Raw genomic sequence first — 18640 nt, forward strand, 5'->3', positions numbered from 1 at the left:
CTTTTACTTTGCATAATGTTTTCAAGGTTCATTCATGTTGTAGCATGTATCTGAACTTCATTCTTTTTCTGGCTGAAAATTTTATTATATGTATGTATTACATTTTGTGTCTCTATTCATCACTTGATGGATATTTGGATAGATTTAAGTCATTTGTCTTTTGTGAATAGTGCTATTAATATTATGAACACTTGAGTACAAGTTTTTGTTTAAATACCTCTTTTCTTTTTTCTTGGATGTATTATCTAGGTGAAGAATGGCAAGATCATATGGTAATTCTATTTAGCTTTTTGAGGAACTGCCAAACCTTTCCACAATGACTGCACAATTATACATTTCCAGTAGGGTTCCAGTTTATCCATATTCTCACCAATGCTTTTATTTTTCTGTTTTTTAAAATTATACTGATCATAGGAGGTGTAAAGCAGTATTTCAGTTTGGTTTTGATTTGCATTTCCCTAATGATTAATGATGTTGAGAATCCTTTCACATGCTTATTGACCATTTTTATGTCATTTTGGGAAAATATTTATTCACATTTTTGCCCATTTTTTAGTTGGGTTGTCTTTTTTTGCTGTTGAGTTGTAGGAGTTCTTTATATTTTCTGGATATTAAACCCTCATCAGATAAATTATTTGCAAATGTTTTCTTCCATTCTGTTAATTTTCTTAATGTTGTCTTTTGATGCACATTGTAAAAATTTTTAAAATCAATTTCCATTTTCTTATTTTTTTATTATTATGCTTTAAGTTCTGGGATACATGTGCAGAGCGTGCAGGTTTGTTACATAGGTATATACGTGCCATGGTGGTTTGCTGCACCCATCAACCCATCATCTACATTAGGCGTTTCTCCTAATGCTATCCCTCCCCTTGCCCCGCACCCCCGAGCAGACCCCAGTGTGTGATGTTCCCCTCCCTGTGTCCATGTGTTCCCATTGTTCAACTCCCACTTGAGTGAGAACATGCAGTGTTTGGTTTTCTGTTCCTGTGTTAGTTTGCTGAGAATGATGGTTTCCAGCTTCATCCATGTCCCTGAAAAGGACATGAACTCATCATTTTTTATGGCTGCATAGTATTCCATGGTGTATATGTGCCACATGTTCTTCATTTCCAGTCTATCACTGATGGGCATTTGGGTTGGTTCCAAGTCTTTGCTATTGTGAACAGTGCCACAATAAACATATGTGTGCATGTGTCTTTATAGTAGAATTATTTATAATCCTTTGGGTATATACCCAGTAATGGGATTGCTGGGTCAAATGGTATTTCTAGTATTTCTAGTTCTAGATCCTTGAGGAATCGCCACACTATCTTCCACGATGGTTGAACTAATTTACACTCCCACCAGCAGTGTAAAAGCGTTCCTATTTCTCCACATCCTTTCCAGCATCTGTTGTTTCCTGACTTTTTAATGATTGCCATTCTAACTGGCATGAGATAGTATCTCATTGTGGTTTTGATTTGCATTTCTCTAATGACCGGTGATGATGAGCTTTTTTTAAATATGTTTTCATATGTTTGTTGGCTGCATAACTGTCTTCTTTTGAGAAGTGTCTGTTCATATCCTTTGCCTTTTTGATGGGGTTGTTTTTTTCTTGTAAATTTGTTTAAGTTCTTTGTAGATTCTCGATATTAGCCCTTTTTCAGATGGATAGATTGCAAAAATTTTCTCCCATTCTTTAGGCTGCCTGTTCACTCTGATGATAGTTTATTTTGCTGTGCAGAAGCTCTTTAGTTTAATTAAATCCCATTTGTCAATTTTGGCTTTTGTTGCCATTGCTTTTGGTGTTTTAGTCATGGGTAAAATTTTTTGATGAAGTCCATTTAATCTATTTTTTTTCTTTTCTTAATCTTGCTTTTGGTATTATATCCAAGAAACCATTGCCAAATCTAAGGTCATGAAGGTTTACCCCTATGTATTTCTATTAGTCCGCTCTCACACTGCTATGAAGAAACACCGAAGACTGGTTAATTCATAAAGGAAAGAAGTTTAATTGACTTACAGTTTCACATTGCTGGGGAGGCCTCAGGAAACTTACAATCATGGCGGAAGGCAAAGGAGAAGCAGGCACCTTCTTCACAGGGTGGCAGTATGGAGTTAGTGCAAGCAGGGTAAATGCCAGACACTTACAAAACCACCAGATCTTGTGAGGCTCACTCATTATCACGAGAACAGCATGGGGGAAGCTGCTCTCATGATCTAATTACTTCCACCTGGTCCTGCCCTTGACGCATGAGGATTATAGGGGTTATGCAGGTTACAATTCACGATGAGATTTTGGATGGGGACACAGCCAAACCATATCTCTATTCTAAGAGCGTGATACTTTTAGCTCTTATATTTATGTCTTTAATCTATTTGGAATTAAATATTACATATGGTATGAAGAGGAGTCTAGCTTATTTTTTATTTCAGCAAAATATTCATTATATTACATAATCATGTAAGTTATATGCAGTGAAATCTCCCTTCCATGGTATGATACTTCAATAGATTAACCAAGTCCCCAAAATAGGTAGGAAGAAAAATATTGTATCCACTGGAACTGCAAGATGAACAGTATGTAGCCTTTTTACAAGGCTTTTTTTACTTAGTAATATGCATTTAAGTTTCATCCAGATCTTTTCATGGCTTGATAGCTCATTTATTTTTAGTGGTGGATAGTATTCCATTTTCTGGATATGCCGCAGTTTATGTTAATCTAGTAGAGGACATCTTGGTTACTTCCAATTATTGGCAATTATAAATGAAGCTGCTAGAAACATCCATGTGCAAGTTTTTGTGTGGACATACGTTTTCAACTCACTTGCATGAATACCAAGGAGTTCCACTTCGGTATTATTTGCTAAGAGTATATTTAGTTTTCTAAGAAACCATGACCATCTTCCAAAGTGGCTATACCATGTTGCATTCCTACCAGCACTAAATAAGTTTCTGTTGCTCTACCTCCTTTGCAGCACTTGGTGGTGTCAGTGTCCTACATGTTGACCATTGTATTAAGTGTATAATGGTATCTCACTGTTGTTTTAATTTGCATTCTCCTGATGACATACAATGTGGAGCATCTTTTCATATGTTTATTTGCCATCTGTATATCTTCTTAGGTGAGGTGTCTGTTAAGGTCCTTAGCCCATTTTTTAATCCTGTTTGTTTTCGTATTGTTGGGTTTTAAGAGTTCTTCATATATTATAGATAACAGTTCTTTATCACATATGTCTTTTGCAAATATTTTCTCCTGGTTTGTGGCTTATCTTCTCAGATAACAGTGCCTTTCTCAGAGTAGAAGTTTTTACTTTTAATGAAGTCCCGCTAACCAATACCTTATTTTGTGAATCATACCTTTGGTATTATATTTAGAGAATTGTCACCCTACACAAGGTAATCTAGACTTTTAGAAAATGTAACCATCTAGGAGCTGTAGTTTTGCATTTTACTTTTAGTTCTGTTAGCCATTTTGAGTTAATTTTGTGACATGTGTAGAGTCTGTGTCTAGATTTTTTTTGCATGTGGGTGTTGAGTTGTTTCAGTATAATTTATTGAAAAGACTCTCTTTTCTCTGTTGTATTGCCTTTGCTCCTTTGTTAAAGATCAGTTGGCCATATTTACATGGGTCTGTTTCTGGGCTCTCTGTTCTGTTGCATTTATTCGCCTGTCCTTTCATTGATACCACACTGTTTTGATTACTATAGCTTTATAGTAATTTTTAAAGTTGGGTAGTGTTGGTCCAACTTTGTTCTTCTCCAATAGTGTGTCAGCTACTATGGGCCTTTTGCCTCTCCATATAAACTTTAGAATCAGTTTGTCAGTACTTACAAAACAACTTGCTGCAATTTTGGTTGGGATCGCACTGAATTTATAGATTAAATTTGGAAGAATTAATATCTTGACAATATTGAATCCTCCTATCCATGTACATGGAATATCTCTGCATTTATTTAGTTATTTTATTTCCTTCATCAGTGTTTCATAGTTTCACTCATATAGATATTGTGCATATTCTGCTAGATTTATACCTAAGTGTTTCATTTTTAGGTGCTAATGTAAATGTTATCATTTTTAAACTACAAATTCTACTTTCTCATTGCTCGTATTTAGGAAAGTCATTTTTAAAATATATTAATCTTGTATCCTGCAACGTTGCCATAATTACTTATCAGTTCCAGAAGTTTTTTTGTTGTTGTCAGTTCTTTCAGATTTTGTACATACACAGTCATTTCATCTGCACATGAAAACAGTTTTCTTTCTTCCCAGTCAGTATAACTTTAATTTCTTTTTTCTTGTCTTTATTGCATTAGCTAGGACTTCCATTATGATGTAGAAAAGCAGTGGTGAAAGGGAAAATATCTGCCTCATTCCTGATCTTACTGATAAATCAAGTTTCTCACCATTAAGTATGATGTTAGCTGTAGGTTTTTGGTAAATATCCTTTATCAAGTTGAGGAAGTTCTCCTCTATTTTTAGTTTGCTGAGACAACTTTATTCTTTTATCTGTGGATATCTGGTTCTCTCATTACCACCACCACATATAGAGAACGGACAAGATTTTTAATAAATGGTGATTGCGTCCTCTATTAGTTTGTTTTCATGCTGCTGATAAAGATGTACCCGAAACTGGGAACAAAAAGAGGTTTAATTGGACTTACAGTTCCACATGGCTCAGGAGGCCTCAGAATTATGGCAGGAGGTAAAAGGCACTTCTTACACAGCGGGAGCAAGAGAAAAATGAGGAAGAAACAAAATCAGAAACCCCTGATAAGCCCATAAGATTTTGTGAGTCTTATTCACTATCACAAGAATAACACGGGAGAGACCAATCCCTGATTCAATTACCTCCCTCTGGGTCCTTACCATAACACGTGGGAATTCTGGGAGATACAATTCGAGTTGAGATTTTGGTGGGGACATGGCCAAACCATATCATTTCACCCCTGGCCCCTCCAAATCTCATTTCCTCACATTTTAAAACCAATTATGTCTTCCCAGCAATCCCCCAAAGTCTTAACTCATTTCAGCATCAACCCAAAAGTCCACAGTCCAAAGTCTCATATGAGACAAGGCAAGTCCCTTCTGCCTATGAGCTTGTAAAATCAAAATCAATCTAGTTACTTCCTGGATAAAACGGGGGTGTAGGTATTGGGTAAATACAACCATTCCAAATGGGAGAAATTGGCCAAAACAAAGGGGTTACAGGGCCCATGCAAGTCTGAAATCCAGTGGGGCAGTCAAATTTTAAAGCTCCAAAATGATCTCCTTCAACTCTAGGTCTCACATCCAGGTCATGCAGATGCAAAAAGTGGGTTCCCACAGTCTTGGGCAGCTCTGCCCTGTGGCTTTGCAGGGTACAGCCTCCCTCCTGGCTGCTTACATGGGTTGGCATTATCTGTGGCTTTTCCACGCACACAGTGCAAGCCGTCAGTGGATCTATCATTCTGGGGTCTGGAGGATGGTGGCCCTCTTCTCACAGCTCCACTAGGTGGTGCCTCAGTAGGGACTCTGTGTGAGGGTTCTGACCCCACATTTCCCTTCTGCACTGCCCTAGCAGAGGTTCTCCATGAGGGCCCCACCCCTGCAGCAAACTTTTACCTGGGCATCCAAGCGTTTCTTACATCTTCTGAAATATAGGCAGAGGTTCCCAAACCTCAGTTCTTGACTTCTGTACACCTGCATGCTCAACACCACGTGGAAGCTGCCAAGGCTTGCGGCTTCCACCCTCTGAAGCCACAGCCCAAGCTGTATGTTGGCCCCTTTCAGCCACAGCTGGAGCAGCTGGGACACAGGGCACCAAGTGCCCAGGCTGCACACAGCATGGGGGCCTTGTGCCCAGCCCACAAGAACACTTTTCCTCCTGGGCCTCCAGGCCTGTGATGGGAGGGACTACTGGGAAGTTCTCCGACATGGCCTGGAGACATTTTTCCCATGGTCTTGGGGATTAACATTAGGCTGCTTGCTACTTATGCAAATTTCTGCAGCTGGCTTGAATTTCTTCCCATAAAATGGGTTTTTCTTTCTTATCGCATAGTCAGCCTGCAAATTTTCCAAACTTTTATGCTCTGCTTCTCTTATAAAACTGAATGCCTTTAACAGCATCCAAGTTACCTCTTGAATGCTTTGCTGCTTAGAAATTTCTTCTGCCAGATACCTTAAATCATCTCTCTGAAGTTCAAAGTTCTACAAATCTCTAGGGCAGGGGCAAAATGCTGCCAGTCTCTTTGCCAAAACATAACAAGCGTCACCTTTGCTCCAGTTCCCAACAAGTCCCTCATCTCCATCTGAGACCACCTCAGCCTGAATTTTATTTTCCATATCACTATCAACATTTTGGGCAAAGCCATTCAACAAGTGTCTAGGAAGTTCCAAACTTTCCCACATTTTCCTGTCTTCTTCTGAGCCCTGTTCCAACCTCTGCCTGTTACCCAGTTTCAAAGTCGCTTCCATATTTTGGGGTGTCTTTTGAGCAACACCCCACTCTACCGGTACCAATTTACTGTATTAGTTTGTTTTCACGCTGCTGATAAAGACATACCCGAGACTGGGAAGAAAAAGAGGTTTAATTGGACTTACAGTTCCACATGGCTGGGGAGGCCTCAGAATCATGGCAGGAGGTAAAAGGCACTTCTTACATGGCAGTGACAATATAAAAATGAGGAAGAAGCAAAAATAGAACCCCCTGATAAACCCATCAGATTTTGTGAGACTTATTCACTATCATGAGAATAGCACTGGAAAGACTGGCCCCCATGATTCAATTACCTCCCCCTGGGTCCCTCTCACAACATGTGGGAATTCTGGGAGTTACAATTCGAGTTGAGACTTGGGTGGGGACACAGTCAAACCATATCAAGTCCCATCAATGGAATGTGAGTGGAAATGATGTGAGCATTTCCTCACCATGGATTTTAAGAAGGAAATCAACTACTTCTATTCTCCTTTTTCTCATTTGCTGGCTGGATGCAGGCTGTGGTGAGGCCCTATCATGATGAGGCAGGAAGTGATGGTTAGTTAATGAGAAACAACAACAAAAGGTAGTGTAGTTTTCTCATTATTTTTTCTATTATAGAAAGCAATTTGACATTCCATTAATTTCTAATATTTATTGACATTGTGGAAATTCAGGTTTTCTTCTCCCTGTAAAGCTAATTAGCTCTCCTTGCCAGCTCCTATAGTTCTAAAAATCCTCAAGGGGTATTTCCTATGTCCTGAATTTTTGGGGTTTTCCTGTGATTCTTCCAGTTGTTGCTGCCATTCTAAGCTGTATTGCCAGGCATTTAATGTCCTCTAATTAACTGTTCTCTCTAATTTCCTAACTCCACCTATACACAGGGTTTTCATGATGTCAGATCTGAGTAGTAGTCAAAAGTTTAAATCCATGTTAGAAAGGAGGATATTTTCCTCTCTTTAGGTTATGCTTTATTAATGGGTTCCTTACACTGGAGCATTACAGAGTTTACTTAAAGACAGTTATTTCCTGGATATGTATAAACCTGCCTTTGCTATGACAGATATACAGTTGAGGGTTTGTGTTGGAATAGGCACAAATAGGAGTTCTATAATAATTTCAGTGTTGCTATTAGAATATCTATACTTCCCTAATGGCAAGGCATTGTTCATGGGCTAGGGTCCTTGTGCGTGACTTGGTTTTTCTTCAAGATTAATTCTCTTGAAGTAGACCCCACCCCAAATATGACCTGAAAATATTCTTGGGCCAGGCCTCCCCACCAGTTCTGCAAATGTACCCTGTCTCAAGAAGTAGAGACAGGCTGAGATCTTTCCCATAGCATTTTCAGGCTACACTGAAAATAGACATCTGTTGGGCCAATTTCACCATATAGTTCACCAGACCAACCTCAGCCTAGTTATTCCTGACTACAGGGGACTTTAATTTCTGTGTACAACCTTTGAAACTTTGAGATAGAAGAAGGGGATACATTATAAGAAAACACAGGGTTTGGCTCAGCCTCGACCAAAAGAGAAGTCTCAGAAGGAAGCTTTGCTTGAGGCCCATAAAGGACAGTATAGAGGCAAGTAAAACTAAATAGGCAAAAACAAGTCCATGACCATGGTGATTGAGACAGACAAGAGGAGAACAGGCAAGTGATAGGCTGGTGTGCAAGTTCATGAGCATGCTTGGGGGTGGTGGGTGGGATTTGGAAGAAAACAGTGAGTATGATGAGTGAGCACAGTTGCATCTGTATCATGGACTTAATGCTTATGGATTATTTGGCTCTGACATTTAGATTTCAGTGGTAAGTCAGGGTTACACAGGTGCTAGTGTAGGCACTGAGGAGTAGAAAGATGACTGTTGCAATTTATTGAACTAGAATCAATTATAGGAGGAAATAAATAGTGCTTAGCAGTCAGAGTATCTTATTTCAATCTTTTATTTGCTCAAAGGTTTTAAAAATAATAATCTATTTGATACATACCCATACAAAGCTAACATATGAAAAGCTTAAAGTAGGGCCTTTATCACTTCAATACATACTAACCAATACAAGACCATGTTTTCTAAGAGTACTGACAACAAATTGTCCAACACACATTTTAAAGTCTCACACAGTAAAATTTGTCAGCTTTTGGTAGAACCATTCCTCTGTCAGTAAATATCTTGGAATAAAGATCCTAGCACCTGCAGAATTACCACAGAAGCTTGTGCAAATGTGATTTTGGACATAATTATAAAACAGTAAAGGGGATTGGTGGCTGTATTGGTGAGATGAGCCCTAAAATATTTCTCAGAGACTGAAGCACAGGTAAAGAAAGGCAATGGGAATAGAATTCATCAGGATGGTGAGTGTATTCTGTTCCTACTCCTGCTATTGTTACCAACCAACACAGTGGGTGGGTTCAGTCGTTTGACATCAACCCCATGATCACAGCAAGGATTTAGTAAGGGGATTTATTACTTGTAACGAAGTAATGAGACCACCAGGGATACTTCCCAAAATAATGTCTCCCTGAGATGGGGGCTGGGTCAGGTTTTCATAAGCATTGGGTATTAAGGGTATATCCTGATGGCTTTGGATCTTACAATGAGGTGATGCTGAGAGGCATGATCTGACTGGATCCTGCCATCCAGTGTCCACTTCTTAATTCAGCCCTGGTCCTAATTCAAAACACTTACATTCTCCCTCTGATTGCATGCTTGGTTCATCTGAGGATGCTCAGGTAACATGATCTGAGGGTCCCCGGCAACTGAAAGACAATGCACAACTTTGTTATATAAAAGTTAAACCAGATAGGTCTGGTGCTGCTACCCTGTAACCAGTTACCATACATGGAATGGCTTAAAATAATACCAATTTATTATTATCTTACAGTCCTGGAAGGTTGGAAATCTTCAAAGGGCTTCACCACACTAAAATCAAGATGTTGCCAGAGGAGCTATCCCTCTGGCATTTCTAGGGAAGAATCTGTTTCTTTGTCTTTTCCAGGTTCTGGAGACAGCCTGTATTTCTTGGATCTTGGCTTCCTTCCATCTTCAAAGCCAACGATGACCAGTGTAGACTTTCTATGCTGCTTCAATCTGACATGGAGTCCCTGCCTTCCACATCTAAAGTACCCTTGCAATTACATTGGCCAAGATAACCCAGAATAATCTTAAATTAAACTCAGCTGAATAGCAATCTTAATGATCCTTTGTCAGGTAATATAAAATGGTACATGTTCTGGAGAACAGGACATGGACATCTTTAGGGGACCGTTACCTGCCAAACACAATGAGGGTAGTGTCTAAATGAGTTTTCAAATGGACAACAGTAACAACATCAACTTGGTGTTTAACCACATTGCTCTGTCTGTCCCATGCAGGAAGCAGGGAAAGGAGGGGCTCAAGAGTAGAGGACGGATGTGGGGGTGAAAGAAGAGGATTCAAATGAGCCAGGTTGCTTTGTCTCGGGGAGGGGGGTGCACGGTGGGATCCTCTCCTGAGAATGACTGCTGAAACAATAGGTAGTTGTGGCAGGTGGCGGAGATCCAAGCTGGTTTGATACCAGCCACATTTCCACACTGCCAAATATCATGGCAAGAGAAGACTTGACAGGGAACCGAAGAGAAGCCAGGACCATCCCTACCTGGCGGCATCAAAGAGAGAGGACTGTTATGACCTCCTGCGGGTCCTGACAGGGAAAGGTCCTCTTTTGGGGGCAACTGTGGGGACGGTGCAATGCCAACGTGAGCCACCATTTGAAATGAGAAACAGCGGTGTGGCAGAAAGAAATGAGTCTGGTGCAGACCAGTGGTTGGTTTCCTAGGGTTAGAGGTCTAGGTCTACCTTCTTTTAGAAGAGGGGCAGTGGTGAGTCCTTGATGGGAGCCCCCTGCCCCGGAGTTCACTTAAGAGCAGGTGTACCTTCCTCCCCTGCGTGGCTCCACGAAGCTGGGAAAGAAACGCACAGGACGACCACCCTAGAACCCCGGGCCTGTCTGGACTGAAATCGCCTCTCCCCTCCCACACTGCAGTGCTGACACCCCCTCTCCCATTAACATCCAGGAAGGAGGGTGAGCAGACTAGGGAGGGGGAGAGGGCAAACACCCAGCAGTCCTTATAGGGGGGCGGTTGGGGCGGGGGTGCAGACACACCAAGGGACGGTTTGGTATCCATCCGCTGCTCCCTCCAGCGCGGCTCTTCGCGACCTCGCGATCCTGTCCTCCGCCCGGCCCCGCAGCCGCCCGCCGGTGCCATATATTATAGCAGCGCCAGAAATGTGGTGGTCGTCGCCACGTTAGGGTCCGCGGGGTCCTCCTGAGGCAGCCTGGTGCCAACCCGCAGGCCCCGGCTGGGGCTCGTCCTGGCCCCGCCCACCTCTGGGTCGGAACTATGGTGGTTCTGTGAGGGGGGGCGTCCTGCACTTTCGCGCCGTATCCCTCCGCCCCCCTTCCCGACACCCTCGCGGAGAGCGGTTCTTGCCGCATCCTGCGCAGCCCCTGCCCAGTTTGGTGCAGAGGCGTGGGGGGCGGGACTCGTCTTTGCCATTCGGATCGCTGGGAAAGCGGTGGGAATCCAACTGAAGAGCAGCCAGAGGAGAGCTGAAGAGAGGAGGGGGAGGCCGATGACCTGGGCTCTGGGCCTCTGAAGGCAAGTAGGGGTGCGTGAGGTGGGGGGCCGTGGTGTGGGGGTGGTCCGCCAGGGTGGACCGGCTGGCAACCTGCCCCCCGGACCCTGACAGCCTGGCAACGAGGAGACGATCCGTTCGGAGCCGGGCGCTAGAGAGAGGTGCGCAGTGCCCGAGATCCCTGGCTATGGGGAGGCGGTGACTGGTGCGGGCCAGGCCGGACCAAGGGCTGAGGGGCTGGCTCCAGAGGCACCGTCAGATCGTCTGGAGGAGAACCGCGCTGACCGCTTCCCAGCCAGCTTTGCAGGCGCCCGCGCGCAGCCCTCGACGGTTTCGGTACCGAGAGACGGCTGTGGGGGAGGCTCCTGCGGGAGAAATGGCCAAACGGGAGCCGTGTTGGGGGGCGCCCGGGAGGCAGTTGGGGGGCGCCTGGGGGGGCCCTCGTGGGCCAGCGTCCCAGCTCTGTGCCTAGCCCGTGGGAGGTGGGTCGCGTTCGCTGCTCCGGGCCCTGATTCCGGAAAGGGGCCTGTGGGGCCCCGTGTCCTGGGTGCTGTCCCTTCCCACAGACTCCAGGTTGATGTCAAAGTCTGTCTGCGCGGTAGGTCTGGCGTATTCTGACAGGACACAGTGAGCATCTGTAGAGGAGAGGCTTGAAATAAAGGAGGAGCACGAATATTCCCTGGATTTCTGGAGGTGTGTGGGGATGTGGGGTGGGTGCCAAACACTGGAGAACCGAATCGGGGTGGGGGACTGCGACCAGAGCAGGTCAGGCATCCAGGAGCACCTCTTAATCTTCCCCTCTCTAATGGTGTTCCAGGCGCTTCCCCCACCTTCCATCCCCATCTGCCTCCCCCACCGTCCTAAACTGGGGGCTTGAAAGGGTGAGCTTTGGAGGTAGGGGTGATGAGGGAGACATACTGACAAGTACCAATTCACGACCTGTTTTCTAGAATATGTGGCGCCCTTCCCCCATTTTCTGCTGCGCAGAGCAAGGGGATGTGGCGCACCTAGTGGTGAATCCTCAGAATTGGAGAAGGGAGTAATGAGAAGAGTATGACGTCAAGAGAAGGAGTTGTTATCTCTAGAACCTTGAAGCAGGGCCTAAACAAAACGAGAATATTCCACCAGCAAAACCCCGAATGTTGAAAGACAGATATCAATAATATGGGGATTCTTATCCTTAGCGTTGGTCTCTCTACCAAGGGCTTTACTGCCACCCCTCATTTCCTGTCTTACTTTTTCATCTGTTTGTCCATAGGCCTGCTTTAAGGCTGGCCAGTTCTGCAAGAAAGGCAAGGAGGAGGAGACTGGCTCACACCTCTGGAGGTTGGTGAGAAGGGGGAGGGGGCAATTCAGGGGACAGTTGGAGAAAGAGAGCATGGCAGGTGGCTTTGAGACCAGTGGGTGCAGACCCACTTCTACTCTGCTGGATTTGCACAGTGCCAGCATCCTTTTTATTTCTTGCAGGGGACATGAGATAGGTGTAGGTTGTGTTGTGACTCAGAAAGACCTGAGAGCAGGGACCAGGACACAGGAAACCATAGATACATTGAACCCTTGAATGGGAAGACAGATATTTGTCACAGGAGCCAGAGTGCTTGCCTATCTACCATTCTCCATTCTCTCCTGTATGTTTACTTGTCTGTAGGACCCCCTTCTGTCAGCTGTGGGGCTTGACACTACTTGAACAAGAAAAGGAGGGGGAAACTGCACCACATAAGTGAAGGTTGGTATGAGAGTGGGTATACTTTTGGGCGGGGTAGTGGAGACCAGCATGGGTCCGGGAGTGCTTAGGGTCCAATCTGGGGACTTCTTGGCCCCTCCCATTGCCGACACACTTTCCCACCATTGTTGGACCTGTTTAATAGGAGGCAGCCGGTCCAGAGAGACTTTCTCAAAGCCCAGCTGTCCCACCTAGCATTCAACATCAGTCTCACTGCATATGTCTCTGCATGGGATGACATAATTGGAAGAGACTCAAAGCCCCATTTCATTCTCTCTCCCTAGATCCACCTCCAGTGGCTGCTCTGCTGGTGGTGGGGTTGCTGCTGACAACCACCCTCAACGGGTCTGCACCCATCCAGGAAATCTCTGTCTTCCTCAAGCTTGGTTGTGCCTGTTCTACACTCTATCTGTATTATTGAATTACTGACTGAGACTGTGTTTGGGAAGGAGGCTGAGTGACTACTGGACTGGATATTGACTCTAACTCTTGTTTCCAAGCTTATATCCTCAATCACCTAAAGATCAGAGTGTGAAGAAACAAACCTGTGACAGATCTGTGGTTGAGGTTTAGACTGGGGGAGGAGTATAGTACTGGACTTTCTTTGTAACTTGTACCATGACTGGGGCAGAGATTGAGTCTGGTGCCCAGGTCAAGCCTGAAAAGAAGCCTGGGGAAGAGGTTGTAGGTGGGGCTGAGATAGAGAATGATGTCCCTCTGGTGGTCAGACCCAAGGTTAGGACCCAGGCCCAGATAATGCCTGGGGCAAGGCCCAAGAATAAGTCCAAGGTTATGCCTGGAGCAAGCACCAAAGTTGAGACAAGTGCAGTGGGTGGGGCACGCCCTAAGAGTAAGGCCAAGGCAATACCTGTTTCACGATTTAAGGAAGAAGCCCAGATGTGGGCTCAGCCCAGGTTTGGTGCTGAAAGATTGTCTAAGACAGAGAGAAACTCCCAGACCAATATCATAGCCTCTCCACTTGTCAGTACTGATTCTGTCTTGGTTGCTAAAACAAAGTACCTGTCTGAGGATAGAGAACTGGTTAATACAGACACTGAGAGCTTTCCTAGAAGGAAGGCCCATTACCAAGCAGGATTCCAGCCTTCTTTTAGGTCAAAGGAGGAGACCAATATGGGGTCCTGGTGCTGTCCTAGGCCTACATCCAAACAAGAAGCCTCTCCTAATTCTGATTTCAAATGGGTAGACAAATCTGTGAGTTCCTTGTTCTGGAGTGGAGATGAGGTCACTGCAAAATTTCATCCTGGGAATAGGGTAAAAGACAGTAACAGATCCATGCACATGGCCAATCAAGAGGCTAATACCATGTCTAGGTCCCAAACTAACCAGGAGCTCTATATTGCATCTAGTTCTGGTTCTGAGGATGAGTCTGTTAAGACACCCTGGTTCTGGGCCAGAGATAAAACCAATACCTGGTCTGGGCCCAGGGAAGATCCCAATAGCAGGTCCAGGTTTAGGTCTAAGAAAGAAGTCTATGTTGAATCAAGTTCTGGATCTGAGCATGAAGACCATTTGGAGTCCTGGTTTGGGGCTGGAAAGGAGGCCAAATTCAGGTCCAAAATGAGAGCTGGGAAGGAGGCCAATAACAGGGCCAGGCACAGGGCCAAGCGAGAAGCTTGCATTGATTTCATGCCTGGGTCTATAGATGTAATTAAAAAAGAGTCCTGTTTCTGGCCTGAAGAAAATGCTAATACCTTTTCAAGGCCCATGATCAAGAAAGAGGCCAGGGCCAGAGCAATGACAAAGGAAGAGGCCAAAACCAAGGCCCGAGCCAGGGCCAAGCAAGAAGCCAGGTCAGAGGAGGAAGCCCTCATTGGGACCTGGTTCTGGGCTACAGACGAGTCCAGCATGGCAGATGAAGCCAGCATAGAGTCCAGTCTACAAGTGGAGGATGAGTCCATAATTGGGAGTTGGTTCTGGACTGAAGAAGAGGCCAGTATGGGGACTGGGGCTAGCAGTAAATCCAGACCAAGGACTGATGGGGAGCGTATTGGTGATTCCTTATTTGGGGCTAGGGAAAAGACCAGTATGAAAACTGGGGCTGAGGCCACCTCTGAATCTATACTAGCAGCTGATGATGAACAGGTCATTATTGGTTCCTGGTTCTGGGCTGGTGAAGAGGTCAACCAAGAGGCTGAGGAAGAGACCATTTTTGGGTCGTGGTTCTGGGTCATTGATGCGGCCAGTGTGGAATCTGGTGTTGGGGTCAGCTGTGAGTCCAGGACAAGGTCTGAGGAAGAAGAGGTCATTGGTCCCTGGTTTTGGTCTGGAGAACAAGTTGATATAGAGGCTGGAATCGGAGAAGAGGCCAGGCCAGGAGCTGAAGAAGAGACAATATTCGGGTCCTGGTTTTGGGCTGAAAACCAGACCTATATGGATTGTAGGGCTGAAACTAGCTGTGACACCATGCAAGGGGCTGAGGAGGAGGAGCCCATTATTGGGTCCTGGTTTTGGACCAGAGTAGAAGCTTGTGTGGAGGGTGATGTCAACAGCAAGTCTAGCCTGGAGGACAAGGAAGAGGCCATGATACCATGTTTTGGAGCCAAAGAAGAGGTCAGTATGAAGCATGGGACTGGTGTCAGATGCAGATTTATGGCAGGGGCTGAGGAGACCAATAATAAGTCTTGCTTCTGGGCAGAAAAAGAACCCTGTATGTATCCTGCCGGTGGAGGAAGTTGGAAGTCTAGGCCAGAGGAGGAAGAGGACATTGTCAATTCGTGGTTCTGGTCCAGAAAATACACAAAGCCAGAGGCCATTATAGGGTCCTGGTTATGGGCTACAGAAGAGAGTAATATAGATGGGACTGGAGAAAAGGCCAAGTTACTGACTGAAGAGGAGACCATAATCAATTCCTGGTTCTGGAAAGAAGATGAAGCCATTTCAGAGGCTACTGACAGAGAAGAGTCCAGGCCAGAAGCTGAGGAGGGGGACATTATTGGTTCTTGGTTCTGGGCTGGAGAAGAGGACAGACTAGAGCCAGCTGCTGAGACTAGAGAAGAAGACAGGCTAGCAGCTGAGAAAGAAGGTATTGTTGGGTCCTGGTTTGGGGCCAGAGAAGAGACCATTAGAAGAGAGGCTGGGTCTTGCAGCAAATCCAGTCCTAAAGCTGAAGAGGAAGAAGTCATTATTGGGTCCTGGTTCTGGGAAGAAGAGGCCAGTCCGGAGGCAGTGGCAGGAGTCGGCTTTGAGTCAAAGCCTGGGACTGAGGAGGAAGAAATCACTGTTGGGTCCTGGTTCTGGCCTGAAGAAGAAGCCAGTATACAGGCTGGATCTCAGGCAGTAGAGGAAATGGAGTCAGAGACTGAAGAGGAAACCATTTTTGGGTCCTGGTTCTGGGATGGAAAAGAAGTCAGTGAAGAAGCAGGACCATGCTGTGTATCCAAGCCAGAGGATGATGAAGAGATGATTGTTGAGTCCTGGTTCTGGTCTAGAGACAAAGCCATTAAGGAAACTGGAACTGTGGCCACCTGTGAGTCCAAGCCAGAAAATGAGGAAGGGGCCATTGTTGGGTCTTGGTTTGAGGCTGAAGATGAGGTAGATAACAGGACTGACAATGGAAGCAACTGTGGGTCCAGGACATTAGCTGATGAAGATGAGGCCATAGTGGGGTCCTGGTTCTGGGCAGGAGATGAGGCCCATTTTGAATCAAATCCTAGCCCCGTGTTCAGGGCCATTTGCAGGTCCACGTGTTCAGTTGAACAGGAGCCTGATCCTTCACGCAGGCCTCAGAGTTGGGAGGAGGTCACTGTTCAGTTCAAGCCTGGTCCATGGGGTAGGGTCGGCTTCCCATCTATAAGCCCCTTTAGATTTCCGAAAGAGGCAGCATCTTTATTCTGTGAAATGTTTGGGGGCAAACCCAGGAACATGGTACTTAGCCCAGAAGGGGAAGATCAGGAATCTTTGCTTCAGCCTGATCAGCCTAGTCCTGAGTTCCCATTTCAGTATGATCCTTCCTACAGGTCAGTCCAGGAAATTCGAGAGCATCTTAGGGCCAAGGAGAGTACAGAGCCTGAGAGTTCATCCTGTAACTGCATACAATGTGAGCTGAAAATTGGTTCTGAAGAGTTTGAAGAACTCCTTTTATTAATGGAAAAAATTCGGGATCCTTTTATTCATGAAATATCTAAAATCGCAATGGGTATGAGAAGTGCTTCTCAATTTACCCGAGATTTCATTCGAGATTCAGGTGTTGTCTCACTTATTGAAACCTTGCTTAATTATCCGTCCTCCCGAGTTAGAACAAGTTTTTTGGAAAATATGATTCGCATGGCCCCACCTTATCCGAATCTAAACATAATTCAGACATACATATGTAAAGTGTGTGAGGAAACCCTTGCTTATAGCGTGGATTCCCCGGAACAGCTGTCTGGAATAAGGATGATTAGACATCTCACTACTACTACTGACTATCACACACTGGTTGCCAATTATATGTCTGGGTTTCTCTCCTTATTAGCTACAGGCAATGCCAAAACAAGGTTTCATGTTTTGAAAATGCTACTGAATTTGTCTGAAAATCTTTTCATGACAAAAGAACTACTCAGTGCTGAAGCAGTGTCAGAATTTATAGGCCTCTTTAACAGGGAAGAGACAAATGACAATATTCAAATTGTTCTTGCAATATTTGAGAATATTGGCAACAATATCAAAAAAGAAACAGTGTTCTCTGATGATGATTTCAATATTGAGCCGCTTATTTCTGCATTCCACAAAGTTGAGAAATTTGCTAAGGAACTGCAAGGCAAAACAGACAATCAAAATGACCCTGAAGGGGACCAAGAAAATTAGTAATGGTTAATTGCTGGCCTCAGATTGTCCTTATGTTCCTGAGTTATGATCCTTGAGTAATGCTTTGATTTTAATAGTTGGTTCTGTGTTGCAACATATATCTTTAGTGCTGACACTAACTTTGTCCAACTCTGTCTGTAAGCTGGAGCATTTTTCTGATGCCAGCTGAATATTAGAGCTGAAAACACATTTGTTGATATTTGTCTTGTCCACATTGTGATGTTCAGTATTTGAGCTTATAGTGAACTGAGCAATCATAAATAAGCCACCCTTCTGATTGTCGTTCTACTGTATATATATATATATTTGAGTGTTGTTTGTGTTTCAATAAAGTCCTATGTTAAAGTTGGCAGAAATCACCCTTCTTCTTGAAATTAAAATACAGACCCAATGATAACACATGAACACACATAGAGATAATTAATATATGAATAATATGTTCCTTTCAAAAGTTTTTTTCTCAGCTTTAAACGCAAAAATTACCAGGGGCTGCTATGTAGGGCATACTTCAGAGAAAAAGTAGCTACTTCGGTTGGACTCTGAAGTTTGGGAAAGATATTGGTGGTGTAAAAAAAAAAAAAAGCATGGAGTTAGGAAAAATTTTCCTATGGGAGTGAGGTATCCTGTTTGCCTAGAGTGAGTGAGAGGAATATATTGAGCAACATAGAGGATGACATAAGTTTTAAAGAGCTGAGGATTTGCATTTTACAGCTCAAAGTACAACTGCTGCTTCCATACTACCTAAAGGGCAAAAGAATAAGACAGGAAAGCATAGGGATTTGATTGAGTCAGGAAGACAATTTAATCATGATGGTACCATGGTAAGTGTTAAGGCAACATCATACAGCCATTAAACATGATGATGTATAGGGTTTTAGGAAAAGCCCTGACATTTTTGATATTTCATATAATAGAGAACACTGGTGTCATACATGGGAAGTATGATCCCATTTGAAAAATAAATGTGAATAAATTGACCAAACTCATGTGAAGTGTATATTATTTAATAATAGAAAATTCTACAATGATATAAAATGTATCAAAGGAATGAAGAGGTA

At 44.1% G+C, this 18640-nt stretch overlaps 2 protein-coding genes across 7 annotated transcripts in view; both read left to right on the forward strand.

Annotated features, from left to right (window-relative positions):
• ARMCX5-GPRASP2 (ARMCX5-GPRASP2 readthrough) overlaps window positions 1-18640 on the forward strand; it is a 308717-nt gene that overhangs the window by 41172 nt on the left and 248905 nt on the right. The gene's annotated exons all lie outside the window — the stretch shown is intronic.
• GPRASP1 (G protein-coupled receptor associated sorting protein 1) lies at window positions 10964-18564 on the forward strand. 4 transcript variants are annotated; one of them, NM_001184727.2, is made up of 6 exons: window positions 10964-11076; window positions 11168-11214; window positions 11656-11746; window positions 12312-12379; window positions 12702-12779; window positions 13061-18564. In NM_001184727.2, the coding sequence occupies exon 6, from the start codon at window positions 13395-13397 to the stop codon at window positions 17580-17582; it is 4188 nt and encodes a 1395-aa protein (NP_001171656.1). In that variant the 5' UTR covers window positions 10964-11076; window positions 11168-11214; window positions 11656-11746; window positions 12312-12379; window positions 12702-12779; window positions 13061-13394; the 3' UTR covers window positions 17583-18564. The 4 variants fall into 4 exon arrangements, with proteins under 4 accessions (NP_001171656.1, NP_055525.3, NP_001092880.1 ...); NM_014710.5 differs by lacking the exon at window positions 11168-11214; NM_001099410.2 differs by lacking the exons at window positions 11168-11214; window positions 11656-11746.

This window comes from Homo sapiens, chromosome X, assembly GCF_000001405.40.
Source record: "Homo sapiens chromosome X, GRCh38.p14 Primary Assembly".
NCBI lineage: Eukaryota > Metazoa > Chordata > Mammalia > Primates > Hominidae > Homo > Homo sapiens.

What these genes read in the sequence shown, in the direction of transcription:
- GPRASP1 (NM_001184727.2), top strand. Translation starts at nt 13,395, where the DNA reads ATGACTGGGGCAGAGATTGAGTCTGGTGCCCAGGTCAAGCCTGAAAAG.